We start from the raw sequence: 14893 nt of genomic DNA, 5'->3' as shown, positions 1-14893 counted from the left end.
TGGAAAGTCTTCCTGGATATGGTGGCATTTTCATCTAAAGGGTTGAGAGGCCTGGGCTAGAGTTTCCAGAATTAGCAAATAAAAATACAGGGTGTCCAGTTAAATTTGATCAGTCATCCTATATTTTATCTGGCAACTATACTTGGTAATGAGGAATGCACCGGGAGCCTTGAATCTTCCTCTGGGATAAAGGGGCAAATGTGTTTCAGTGATAAATTTTGATGTGAAGAGGGTGTCATAGGTTGTGGAATGAAGAACACTGCAGAGCCCTGGGGCTCCATTTGCCCTGCTGCAGAGGCCTGGACAGGGCTGTCTTATTCTGAGTCATTGAGGTTTGGGGATTTCTCTTAGATTCTTAACTGTGGGTGAGTGGAAAGTAGAACGTGTTGGAGCTCTAAGACTTCCTCTTAACCCCTGATATTTGTTACTTAGGGTCACATAAAGCCAGATGGAAAATGATATTAGATGTCAGGTACAGGCAATACCATTTTCCCCCTAAACCCAAATCAGCTTTATTTATTTATTACTTATTTATTTAATTTTAGTATTTTTTCAGGCAATACCATTTTCAGGGAACAGACCCAGAAATGTCACACACTTTGTTTAATATCAAGAAAACAGTGCTTCTTCGAACCAGGATTATTGATTTAGATGCTCGAAAGGTCAGTGAGCTTCAAGAAAAAGATCCTCCATATACGATTTTCCATTTTTTTCTGTAATTTCTTTTTAAAATTTTTATTTTATTATTTTATTTTACTTTAAATTCTAGGATACACATGTAGGATATGCAGGTTTGTCACACAGGTAAACATGTGCCATGGTGGTTTGCTACACCTGTCAACTCACCACCTAGGTATTAAGGCCAGCATTCCCCCAGAAGCATGATGTCAATAGTCAGTAACAGTAGTTTCTGCTGTAATTTTGCTTGTAATGATTCAATGCTGTTCTCTTATACAGTGAGGGAAGAGTTGGCTTCTTCTTGGCTCTGCAAGTATGGTGGTGGTGTTATTATTGCATGACATTTAAAGATGGAGATGCCTTATTTGAACATGAGGGCAGGAGTTTGTGTCCATTTTGTTCATTTTTGAAAGTTCAGTTTCTAGAAGAGTGCCTAGTAAATTACTAGGTACTCAGTCAATATGTTCTGAGTAACAAATATTTCCAGTATTACAAGATTTTTTAAATGCAAAAACTGGTTTTTGTCAAGTCACTTTAAAATAATGCTTATTTGTATGCTTCTGCCTAAAAAGAGTATGTTAGAGATGTCTTCTTGCAAATGCTGTAAAAATGAATGCCACAGTGGTTAGAATAGGCCCAGAGAGTGACTGCTGAGTTAATCCTTGCTTCCTGATTCCTAGCTGTGTGTTTTTCCCTTATCTTTGCACCTCTGTTCACTCTTCTATAAAGTTGGGATGATAATAACAGTGTAATATTAGTACCTCCTCTGTCACCAAATTTTTGAAATAAATTGATATACAAAGCACTTAGATCAGTGCCTGTCCCATACAAGATACTTAAATATTAGCTATTAATATTTTAATTTCATATTATCTCTAATATACTTTCTAGCACATGGTTTATTTTCTATAATAATTTTTGAGTGACTAATAATGTTTCACTATTAGAAAAAATGTAAACTACTTCAATATTTAGAGTCCTTTTTTAAGATACTGAAAAAGGGTAAAAGAGTATAATGATTAGAAACATCACCACTTGACTAGTCTAGGCATTAATAATACCTTTGAGAGAGAGGGTGGGCTGAGTAAATCATGAAGATAAATATAACTTTTTCATTGACCTCTCTCAGGAGCTGGAGAGCAAACATATTTCTATGGGAAGGAGGCAGTGCCTTCCTCTTCTAATCATAGATCATGTCCACCTTGGCAAGTTCAGGGCCTTTCACGGGATTTTATTGTTGGGAATCCAAAGAAAACACAGTTGAGAGTAAGGTCTCAGAGGGTGGCTTGTCAAGATGAATGTCTGCACCATTTTCCTCTTACAACTATGCCTATGTACAAAGTGTATCACAGAGGTAAGTGACTCCATCCTCAATCTATCACAATTTGCTCTCTTTCTCCCATGCCAATACATTCACTGTGGCTAAATTTACTGATGTTCTTCTTAATAGTCAAACCCCATAATCCCTCCTCAGCCCCCTACCTTGATTCTTTGAAGTGTTTCCAGGATGCCATCCTTTGTGAAACTACGTCCTTGAAGTCTCAGACAACCCCCTTTCACCTCATCTTCTCCTCTAGCCCCCCTTTCCTTCTCATTTCCCTGTGGTATCTCTTCTTTGCTTCCCTGTTATGTGTTTATGGTTCGGTGTTCTGTATTTAGTCTTCTCTTCACATAATTTCATCTTCACCTATGTCTTGCAGTATCGTGTATTAATTAGTATAGTAGACTGATTAAGTGGCTTCCAATGATATCAGATCCTAATCCTTGGAATCTATAGATGCTAGTTTATTTGCTGGGGTGGGCATCTTTGTAATTAAGTTAATGCTCTTCAGATGGAGGGATTACTCTGCATTATCCTGGGTTATCCAGGTAGGCCCTGAATGCCATGATTCAGTGTCTTTATAAGAAGAAGAGTGAGGGAGATTTGATACAGACAGGAGGGGAGAAGGCAATGTAACCACAGAGGCAGTGATTGCAACAATGCTGTCATGATTCAAGAAATGCCATCAGCCACCAGAAACTGGAAGAGGCAAGAAATGGAATCTCCCCTAACATCTCCAGAGGGAGGGTGCTTGCCAACACCATGATTTTGGCCCCATGATACCGATTTTGGGCTTTTGGCCTCCAGAACTGTAAGAAAATAATCTGTTATTTTCAACCCAAGTTTGTGGTAACTTGTTACAGGCACCACAAGAAAGGAATAAAACTAGAAAATATAAAACCTGTGGCTTTAATTACTATCTTTTTTTTCTGAGTGCCAGATCCACATAACCAAACACCTGCTGGACATCCCTACCAGCTTTCCCCTTTAACATTAGAGCTAGCCATTACTGAGCACTTGCAATGAAGGGCTTTAGGCACTGTTCTAAAGCCCTTCAGAAATGTTACCTCATTTAATACTCACTAAAACCTTATTAGGTAGATACTTTATTATCCTTGCTTTATAATGAAGGAACTGAGTCACAGATGATTTAAGCAGCTTGCCCAAGGTTGTAAATATGGTAAATGCTAGAGCTGGAATTTGGGGCCGGGCCTGATCTGACTTCAGAGCCAATACTAATGACAATGCTCTGATGCCTCAAATTGCCTGATGTCTCAGGTTACTCAGAGCCTGTGCCTTGCCCAGGCAGCAGTGTACAGGGCCTCTGAGGACAGATCACTTTAGATGAATTCAGAAATCTTTTACAGAGTCATTACTACCTGCCAGGTGCTTAGTGCCAGTCACTTGCAACCATTACCAGGGGCAACTTGCTGTTTTCTGTTCAAATATCAAACTATCAAAATCTGAGACAAGAAAATTTCCCAAATCTCATGCAACGTCAGAGATAGATCCTACACCAGGAGGAACACCTGAGCCAGACAGGAATTCTTGTGGCCTCCTAAAAGCATCATGTTTATTGATACACTCTGTTCATAGAGTACTGTGGCTGTCATGTTGCCACGGCCACTTTCATTGTGTTGCCATTGGGCTCTGGGAGCAAGTAAAAAAGTTGAAACTGAAATAATCCCTTTTAGCATTTATGGAGTTTGATCTTCCATGCTGTGTTTGGTAATCTGGAGTCCTGGCTGTTCAATATTCCCTTTCTAGTTCCTCCCTTATAGTTATCACTTGAAATGTGAACAATAATAAAATGGCTACAATATCTTAGTTATCTACTAGGTGCCAGGTAATGTACATACACTATCCATTTAATCTTTTTCACAGTTATGCAAATAAAATATTTTTGCCATTTTATGTATGAGAATACAAACGCTTAGGCTAATTTGTCCCAGCTCACACAGCTAGTTAGTGACAGAGTAGAGTTTGGATTCAGAGAATCAATTAAAATTATTGAACTAGATAAGATTAAAGACAATTGCTTCTTCAGGTCACTTTGGGCAGAGCTGAGGGAGGGGACAGGAAAGAACCAGGTTCTTCATAGTTCAAGATGTGGACAGTTCCAGTTTCTTCTCCATTCTCCAAAGAGCCTGATATTGTGATTTCTGCCTGAGATTGCTTCATGCTTGGACAAAATGGACTTCAGTAATAATGCTGATATTATTTTTGTTATATAAGTTCTTATAGTATACAGTGCTTCTGCCTAAAATAGCTCTTTCTGTAAGCATGGGAGGGCAGGAACTCACCTTCATCCTCAGGATCCTATGGGGCTAATTCCTCTGTGCAGAGGTAGATTTTCTGTGAAGCGAAAGAAGTTTACATCTTCAGGGACTCTCACTTGCTTGGGCATATGCTTTTCTAATATTTGAAAGAGCAAAACATTTTAGCCACGATTAAGACTGCAGTTTAGGCTGAGTGTGGTGGCTCACAATTGTTATCCCAGCTACTTGGGAGGCTTAGGCAGGAGTATAATTGCTTCAGCCCAGGAGTTCAAGGTTACAGTGAGCTATGATCACACCACTGTACTCCAGCCTGGTGACAGTGAGACCTTCTAAAAAAAAAAAGACTGCAATCTCTTTTCATATGAATTATTTTCCATGCCTTTTCATGTTGGATAGTCCCAGACTAGCTGTGGACATTTTTGAGATTTGGCTAATGGGAAATTAAATTGGGAGTCCCTCTATTTGGGTTTAGGGAGATGGATTTATGTGGTTTGCAGTCATTTTCAGGTATAGTAATTATTATTGCTACCTGTCCATGTGCAGGAATACTTTCAGAAACCCTCTTCCCACTCATCTGCAATCACAGAATGAAGACACAGTGGTTGTAATACTATATGAGCATGCTGTGCTGTGCCAGAAGTATGTGGGCAGTAGAAGAGAAAGAAGACTTGAACATTTTTCAAATCATCATAACAAAAAAATTGTAAGCAAAGGTTTTGAATCTCATCAATGCTGTGTTAAGTCAGAAAAGTCAGAAATCCTCTTCTACCATACATAGGGGTGCAATCAAAGAGTATGCAATCAAGAAGAAAAAAGTAGAAAAAAAGTGTAGGATGAATCAGGGATTTAATTAATAAATATTTTTCTGGATTTTTTATGTTTGTGGTATTTGTTAGCTGTTTATATGTATACTTTGTGGTGATTTCTCATCTTAACTAAATATTCACACATATCTATTACTTATAATTTTGTATTCTTTTAAAGAGTTCCCCCATAATTATATAATCTTTAGATCCCACAGATCTTATATCTGCCCCTCCAATACAGCATTTAAACATCCACTAACTAATTAGACTCTTCACTGAATCTTGGTGACAGGAGGGAGGAGGAAGAATCCAGACAGGTGTTCTGCCAGGGGAGTGGCTTTGGAACTGGACCAGGACATGGGCTCTCTTGCTCTGGTGTAAGCAGGGCAGGTCCCGCATGTTGTCTTGGTCCCCATGCCTGACTCATATTATCATTTTTTTTCAACAAGGCCAGTCTAATGAACAGGTAGCTGTCAGCACTACAAAGGAGGGAAGACTCCCGCACTCGCTACCACATTTCTTCTCCACCTCCTGTGGTGGCCTCAAATACTAGAACTAGAGGCACATTCCTTTGGGCTTGGTAAGTTTTTTAGTCTTTGAGAATAAAATTAAAAGCAAATGTTTTACAAACAATTTCATCATAAGTCAATATGAAATATCCCTTAGTCCCGAGGTTTAGGAATGTTGATGAGGATGATGATGATAACCTACCAATTTCTGAACATTTACTATGCCTCAGGGAATGTGCTGCACACTGCACTGTGTGCAGTCAATCCTGCAACAGGAGGAAACTGAAGCTTAGAGGGGGTCATGCAGCTCTAAGTGACTGAACAAGAGATTAAGGCACAAAAATAGTTAAATGACAAATTATGAGGCAAAGGCTTTAAAATTTCAGGCATTTCCCAATTATGCCTTGGGCTAGCCCTTCCCTTTGCTGCTTTCCTCAACTCTAGTAAAATGCTGATTACTACTCTTAATCACAAGCAACAGAGTAGAATATATTCTACATTATGTGGGGTTCAAAAAATTAACCCCTAGGCAATGAAAATATGTTTTCTTCAGCATAAGAAACAAAATTGGGATAAAACACCGAACGACACCTGGATTGCAGAAAAAGTCAATTACCAAAGGGGAAAAGGTTTGCAAGACAACTAGAGCTAGGCAGTTAAACATTAGCATTCAATGGTTTGAAGTGTTTAGGTTTTGCAATGGTGTGGTTTGGAAGCTTTCCAGCAGAAAGGCTATTTTCTTTTAAAAGGATAACTCTCTGCAATATTTTCTTTGCTGAAATAATGTGATCCTTAATGACGTCTTATATGACCCAAACTTAAAATAGACCCTATTATTTTAGCTGACCTCATTCTAACCAGGTTTTTACAGGTCAGCCATTAACTATCAACAGCTTCCTGATAATTAATCCTACTTACCCAAATAACTGTTAGCCTGTTAGCCTTATCTATGCTAAGAGGAAGCTTTTCTACGTACCAGACTTCCTCAGTGAATAAAACACAAACTGAAATTCTGCAGAAAGAGCCAACATTGTGAGGTTTGAGAATGAAGAAACAGATTGAAGATTACAACGCTCCCCTGTCTTTAGCTCCTTACTTGCTGAAATTCTGTGGTTCATCTGGCACAGGAATGGCTTTACAGTAGAGTCAGCAGCACAACTACTCAGGTCAGGAGTGGTTCTCTGGATGGCTCTATCAAAATGCATGGACAACAACATATGCAGTTACCTAAGTGGTCTGGATTGAGAAGCAATGGGGGAAGATATCTTAAGTAGCCATTAGTGTTATTTCCTCTAGGATTTAATTTTCTGCCATTAGAGGCTCATTCTTGTGACTCTGAAGAGCTCTAAGATTCTACTAGGAAAATACAGCTGCCATCTTTGTTTGTCACCTACTCAAATGCAAGACTGGTGTTTGATAAAATGAGGGAAAAGAGGCATGCTGTTATAACTGATGCTGTCAGGACTCCAGGAAGAAGAAAGGTGATGAAATAACAAAATTGCTTTCTTCATTTGGTGAAGGGAGTAAGGCGCTCATGCTGGTCCCATCTAGCAATTTGTAAATGGGTTGTTTGAACATATGGGTCTTAACATGTTCATAGATCGTGGGTGTGTGTTTGTGTGTGTAAAATGAAAAGGCTTATTATTAGATGTAGCCTCATGTCAGCATAGTATAAAGTTCCTCAGGTAAGGGCATGCTTTATAATTAAAGGATTTCTGCATCTGTAATTGCCCATGACATGTACCTTTTCTTTCCAAGTCACATTTCTGATTTTCAGTGACAATTTATTATTAACCTATTTTCTCATCGGGTTAAAAGCATATCCCAAAATTTTAAATCCAATGTGCTCCAGTACATATAAAGAGACTTATTAAGATGATCTTTTCTTAATAAGTCTCTTTATATGTACTGGAGCCCGAAACTTCATTAGCAATTTTAATTTCGCCCTGGTCCTGTGGTCCTGTGATCTCGCCCTGCCTACATTTGCCTTGTGATATTCTATTACCTTGTGAAGCATGTGATCTCTGTGACCCACACCCTATTCATACACTCCCTCCCCTTTTGAAAATCCCTAATAAAAACTTGCTGGTTTTTCAGCTCAGGGGACATCACGGAACCTGCTGACATGTGATGTCTCCCCCAGGACACCCAGCTTTAAAATTTAAAAAAAAAAAAAAGATGATATTTTCTAAGAAAGGTAATTATATCTTACATTACACAAAAAAAAACACTAAAATGACTATATAACCCTGATGGGTTGTGACCTACAGTTTGAATAGCAGTAATCTAAGATAGTATCATCATTTGCCCAGATATCTGCAGCAGTCTATTAACCCATTTCTCTTCTATTTTTCCCTCATGAATTCCCCATACAGCAGCAAAAAGGATCTCAAAAGATAAATCCAGTCATGCAACTCTCCTGCTCAAAGCCTTCAATAGCTTCTAACACTTACACAAAAAATCTAAAATCTTTCAAACTCCTCACCACAACCTACATGATCTGAACTTTGACATTCTGTTCAGCCTAATCTCATGCCATCTCTCCCTTCCTCTGCATGCTCTGGTTCCATAGAACACATTTGAGTTCCTCCAGTACAAGAGATTCTTGCCTGCCCAGGTACAAGTTGCTCCCTCTGCCAGGAACACTCTTTTCTCAACTTCTCATGACTGGCTGGTGTTTACTCTTTAGTCTGGTCTTTTCTCTACAAAGACACCTTTTTTAACCATCCCAGTTACAGTGGATCATTCCTTCTTATTTTTTATTTCAACCCATTGTTTGAACACTTACCACACTTGGAAAGATGGAAAGAAAATATGACAGCTAGAAAACTGACCAAATAACAGGCAGGATGGGGGTGGGTGGAGGACTCACAGCAAGAGATAGTGAAGTCTTTTAGGGCTGGATATGTTCATCTTAGGATCAAGGACTTAAAACTTTGGAATTGTGACTTTACGCAATGTAGCTTGCCTGTAATGCCTGCCTTTTCATTTTTGTGTAATACCGAATTACATTAATTTGGAAAATTCTACATGCCTCTACTTTGATAAGAAGGATGAAGGAAAGAAAGGGTTTGGTTAAACATATGCTAACATTTTTTTTTCTTTGTCAGAAAGTATTGGTGAGCCTAAGAGACAGCAGAACAGTGGAAGCCTTCCTGAGTGCAAGGCCTGACACTTGTTGCGGAGCCATGACTGGGGATGCATTTGACCCCACAGCCATCTGAGATAAGACACTTCTCAACTACCATGTCTTCAGATTCATCTGCATTAAACTTGATAGAGCCCCATTTCTTTGTGATGTGGCCAAGCAACTTGAACTTGGCCCTGTGTAGGGACTCAGTCACATGCTCCTTGTTCTGCACCTTGGTATGGATGGACATGATGACTTACCAATGTAAATTCTGGCCATGGTACCCTGGGGCTTTCTAGAGATACCCTGCACACCTGTCTGGAGCCTACAATGGGAACAGTGCAAGGTCAAAGGTCAGAGGCATAAACATACATTGGAAACGGCTGTCTCCTATGTTCTTTAGAGCAACCCATACAAGAAACAAGCTGTGTATACAACAAAGGAGGCTGTTGTTTGCAGCCATTACACCGAGCCCCTGTGAGGAAAGGAGTACAGCTGGCTTAATTGACTGCAGATGAATAATTTTAAAAGTCTGCTGAGTTCCAGAATTCGGGGTGACAGTGGTAATCAGAGTGACAGAACTCTAGAGAAAGGCAGTGTTCATAGAAAAGAGTCAGAGGTTGCTGGTGGGGTCAGCTCCCACCAGCTGGAGGTTCTTTCTTGATTCAGAACTCACAGAATTTTATGTGGTGTTTTAATAAGAAAGATGTTTCCATCCTTGAACCATCCCTTCTCTAGCTTGGAGGTCCTTCCTGTGCTATAAAGATCACAGATAATTTTCTGGCTTTGTACAAGGGCAGTACTGTTGAAGGGGACCTGCAAGCTTCTTTGTCCTAGAGACTAAAAGTCCCTATTTCTGCCGCAGCAGTTCCAAATCTACAAACAGATATTTTCACATGGTATCACTCCTCACTAGCCACCAGTTGCAGGATGGAGATGCAGGATATATTATAATAGTTGTTTTTGAGTTCAGGTAGAACTTGGAATCAGCCAAATTTGCCTTAGGCTCAAACTGGATGCCCTGAGAGATAACTCCCACAGTGTAAGATTGAGAACATCTTTGAACTCCCATGGGCCTGATGCCTAGAAGGAGAGCAACCTGGGTTTTGCCCCTTCTTCTGCCTTTGCTGGTCTCCATGCCTAAGCATTACATTCTATCCAGCTCCTGCAGATGAGTTAGCTGGCCTGAGTGCCTACAAAGGACCAGGCATTCTCTAAGGCATACTTTACATGTTTCAAGGCACATTTAGCATGCTCTAAGGCATACTCTAAGGCATATTTACATATTTACATTCATCTAATACCGGCCATTCTGTTTTTCCAGCCTGGCCTTCTGTCACAATCTTGGGCTTATCCCTTCTCAGCTAAGCACTAGGGGAGTGTTTCTTCAAAGCTCTAACATGTACTGTGAGTGCTGTTCCCAATGATTCCCATCTTTCTGATTCCTTTTAATTCCTCAGTAATGATTTGTGCTAAGTATTTTTACTTTTTTTTCCTCCAAGTCTCAACCTTGAAGAGTTTACTGTGGCCACTTGAAATTAAGTATGGGCTGCTTTTAATGGGACTAATTGTTATAAGTTCTCATAGCAAGAATCAATTTCAAGAATGAGAAAAAAAATCCATCCCCAGGTTTCCTGCATCCTATTCTCAGCCTCGTGATTTAATCACTTAATTTTAGAATAACGCACTCAGCTGTTTCCACGTCAGCCACTGACTTTTCCCAAGAAACAAATAATGAGGAAGATGTGGCCTTAACTAAGATGGCCTTGCCGTAGGTTAAAGGATCATGGACAGCTGATCTCTAGTGCCTCTAGATCATTGGAACAAAGCCATTTTCTTCCTCAGACCAGGTTGCTTTGATTTGCAATTTATTATAAACAAAATGAACTGGCTATTTTGGGGCTTGGGTTTGAACTATTACCTAAATCCTGACTAGTCATAGTTTGTGAAGTTCTGCAACAAATGCCTGCCTCTGTCTCTTTCATTCTTTTTCTTCCTCTTCCTTTCTTTTTTTTTTTTAAAGAATATCTTTTTCTAGAACAATGAAGCAGATAAGAAATATAGGAAACCATAGAGAGTTAAATAGCATTTATGGAACTGTGAGGATCATCTACTGACAGTAAGAGCAATAACACAGAAACAGACTTCAACTGGCAAGAAACAGCAGGTCACTGCCTGCAGGGGTTGACCAGCTTAGAAACTTGACTGTTTCATGTGTTTGGGTAATGTAATCAAACACAGATGCTGAACCAACTCATGGTCTAATGGCATTATATTTGATATCTTCTACTTAATTGTAATTAAAGTTCAATTTAATTTCCTAGAGCAATTAAATATATTAAAATATTTTATGGGCATTTATTAGCCCAAACTGATTTTTAAAAAACACAAAGTGGCATCAGGAGGGTTCTGTGTTTGAGAAGGCCACAATGTTTTTCAGTGAGATACTACATTTGTCCATAGGCTTAGGGAGAATAATTTACATTTCAGTTTTACAAAATTAACATTATGGTCAGCTTTCAACTAGGTATGCAAAAGCCTTTAATTTTAAGTGGAAGAATATCTGTGGGTGTGTGAATATTGAATGAATTCCCCATATTTAATTTCTGCTGTAACTTAATAGCCAATAGACAATAAGAAATGTTGCTGTCAGGGAGGCTTTTATGGGAATGAACTGAAGAAAGAAGCATAATTCTATACAATGGATGGAAGAACACCATACATCTCAGATTTCTGAAGACGTGAAGAGATTTCAAATAGACTGCCCCTTTGTCCTTATAAGCATATTAGTTGTCGGGCCACATACTTTTATTTTTGATTTAGGACACGTATTCACTATACTTAAATGTCCTTAAAGTATAATAAGAACAAAAGTCTTAGTCAAAATGTATATATGCTATATGCTTATTATTGTAGAATTTGAGTAAGCATCCTCAGGAAAGGAAATGGTATGTTTTTAATTCTGTATCCCATGTATGAGAGCACAATTTGCAATCCAAAATTGATTAATTTTCATATGTCACTTGATTAAAAAACAGAATAGTGGTGGAAGCTTCTGGAGTATTCCCAGAAGCATTAAAAGATAAACAATAGATGGACAAGTTAAATCTGCAGTAAAATCCCATTAATCATATGTAGCTGAGGCTTTAGAAGTGAGTCATCAAATAATCACTGGAAACTTTGAGGATACTTACTAAAATTTTAAAGCTGACTATATTCCAACTGAAAATGTTATCCCCCTAAGTAAAAAGAGTACTTTTATCCGACACACAGAACATATCTAGGCTATTTAATCTATATTATTTGCTAGGTGATTTTTAAGTAACCATAGTTACTAGACTTAAAGAATTTACAGTAGGTGTCTGTTGCAGTGGTGATGGCACTAGATTGATTCAACAGTCATTTATTTGTATTAATGAATAGGAAATGAGAAAGATTTGTGAAAGAACAAATAATCTAGGGGAGTTAATGAGCACATGTGTGCACACATACTCTAACTTCCCAAGGAGGCTATGTTGTACAGTGCTCTCCCCCACCCACCCTCAACTCTGCAGCCCACAGGTAGGGAGGGGGCCATGCCCTATATTAGGAGGGGAGTCAAAGGCCAGGCTTACTCAAGTTTTAGTGCAGTATAAAGTGCAGTTTGTAAAGCCTCTGGGTAATTTGATCAATACAGGCACTCAAAATCTATAATGTGAGTTCCAGAGTAAATGTTTGGATCAAATCGATCTTTAATTAAATTTAGAAGAAAACTAAAATTTCCATTTTAGTTGAGTAAGAACAAGAAGTTTAGCCAGATATCTGGCTGTTAAATATGATGTATATAAAACATCTAAATAATTAGTTTTTCAAACTTTGAATTCAAATGTCTGCTATCTTTAGATTCAAAGTGGATTAAGAATTAGTCATGGTAACTCAATTTCTTTGATTTATGAAGAATGCGTGACTGAAAATAATGACCGATCCAATATGCAAAGGGTAATTACTTTTATGTCGGAAATATTCTTATGTCATTCCTGCACTTGGTCTAGAGTTATTTTATATATATATATAATGAAATACAATGCAATGTACTACAAAACATAATTCAAATATTATGATAGTATATTTATTCAAATGATTTCCATGATTCCACAAGTTTATATGGCAATTACAAAGTTTCTGAATTTAGTATATAAAAATGATGCTAGAAAAATGGGTATCTACCATTTTTAAACATCTCTTTGAAACATTAAAATCTCATATAAAAAATCATAAATGTATAATAACTAAAGTGAAATATACTATTCTTAACGTTATCATTTACTTTTAAGATAGTGAATTAAAAATACATACACTATTCTGCACTACTCTGAGCATGGACTAGACTTAATCTCCAAGTATTTCTAGCTCTCTGGAGTATACAAGGTGCCTGTCTCATGTCTGAGTACTTTGACCTCGACAAGCCTTGTAACCCACAGAACACAGATAATGTTCCAAGACATGTCCAGACTTGTAGAAGACATAGACAAGTCATAAGTGTTTGCAAGAAATACTTCTTTTTTAAAACACAGCAACACAATCCATATCTAGTCAGTGTGAGGATGACGAACTACTGCTCACAAAGATCTCACAATAAGTAAATAGAGTGGGATGTGGTTGCTGAGTTAATTCCAGTGAATTACAAAAAAAAAAAACCCACCAAAATCTTTGGAATTTCAATGGAAATCAGGGAGAAATTGTTGGGAAAAGAATCTTGAGTGCCATATATTTTTTCCCTTTCTAATATTTTGACATGAGTTTATGTTAAGAATATCACTTTTATGCTAATCAATTATTCACTTCCATAAATAATTATGAATTTCAAAACCTAGAGGGCAGTTCTATTACCCTTTAGGGATATCTTACTTATCTAAACTATCAATATTCAGCCTTCTTAATCATGTGTCAATCCAAATTCTCTTTTATTTCCCAGCTCCCCTGCAGGAGTTGTAGTTTATTGGAAACTGATCTCTTCCAGCCAGACACTTTCATGGTTCAAATATCAATAACTTTTATAGCTTTTGTTCTCCTCTACACCTTCTCGGCTAATGCCTAATTTACTAGCATCTTGAAGCCTTTTCTTTTGTTAGGAAAGAAAACATGAATTTCTTTTATTCCATATTACCAGAATAAATGTTGGCATCTTAGCGTGACTTCCTATAGAAAGTCCACAGCTAGTTTCCATACTTACACTTAACAATCTCAGGGTTTTTAAGGTAGTCATATTTTTCTTCGTAGAGTCTGGTTTGAACAGTTCTTTTTTTAAATGTTTTAAAAATGTCCATTTTCTGAGTAGCTTCAAGAGAAACTTTTGTTTAGTTATTATGTTTTGTTCAGTTTTTCAGACTTTCTAAGACGATGTGTTTTTTGGTTGCTTATCATATTCCATAGTAATTTCTCCCAAACATCAAGATAACATTAGTTGTACTATTTAATTTGTAATTTGTTTGGCAACAGATAATTTTGAGGTCAGGGAAGGAAGTTAATAGGAAAAGATAAAAACAAGTGATGGTAGAAATAACACTAAGAAGGTTATTTCAAACAAATATGCATTATTGAATCAATGTATGGTTTATGTATACATATGAGTAAATAGGCCTTCTACAGCTGCCATAAGTTTAAATCTCATATAAAAAATCAACTATCAGTAGCTAAAAAATGTATCAACATATGTTGAACAGGTAAGAATAGGCTGAAAATATATCAAGATGAGCTGGATATAACATACTCATTGAATACAGCCTTATTTTTTACAAGGTACCCAAACATTTTTGGCTAAATTCCTTCTAGAAAAGAGAAATAATATATTATATTCTTCCCTTGTACTCTTCACAAAACCTTACAGTTTCCATAAGTAAAATCAACACTTTCTTCAGAGCAGTTAAACATATTCCAGCACAAATTTACAAAAAAATTATAATACAAATATTAAAGTTTACTTATTCATATTTGATGGTTTTTGAAAATACAGTGTATTTCTAGTTTACGTTTTGCCAAATGAATGTAACTTTTGAATGTCTTTTTTGTCTGGAGTAAGGAAAACAGTCTGGTCCATGCGCCTTGCAACACTGATTGAAACGGCAAAATTTCACAGAGATGTCACAACAGGAAGAACTTCTGGCATAATAACACTGATAATAGCATAAGAA

General features: G+C 37.5%; 1 long non-coding RNA gene and 1 other non-coding gene across 2 annotated transcripts, besides 1 other annotated feature; one reads left to right on the top strand and one right to left on the bottom strand.

The window, feature by feature from the left end:
• Window positions 256-395: an enhancer, noted in NCBI's record as "active region_24775". NCBI's record gives its function as "activates an Ori minimal core promoter by ATAC-STARR-seq in GM12878 lymphoblastoid cells {active_cell/tissue: GM12878}" and the evidence as "EXISTENCE:reporter gene assay evidence [ECO:0000049][PMID:35858748]".
• On the top strand, window positions 4846-12966 carry LOC105377873 (uncharacterized). Its single transcript, XR_942729.3, has 3 exons — window positions 4846-4981; window positions 5534-5664; window positions 8704-12966. It is a non-coding gene; the product is annotated as an uncharacterized LOC105377873 (long non-coding RNA).
• On the bottom strand, window positions 9105-9237 carry LOC124900219 (small nucleolar RNA SNORA70). Its single transcript, XR_007059945.1, has one exon. It is a non-coding gene; the product is annotated as a small nucleolar RNA SNORA70 (small nucleolar RNA).
• Window positions 12967-14893: the final 1927 nt, after the last annotated feature.

The sequence above is a fragment of the Homo sapiens genome, chromosome 6, assembly GCF_000001405.40.
Source record: "Homo sapiens chromosome 6, GRCh38.p14 Primary Assembly".
NCBI classification, from domain to species: Eukaryota; Metazoa; Chordata; class Mammalia; order Primates; family Hominidae; genus Homo; species Homo sapiens.
The sequence above is the reverse complement of the archived record's forward strand: the minus strand, read 5'-3'. Positions and strand labels throughout refer to the sequence as shown.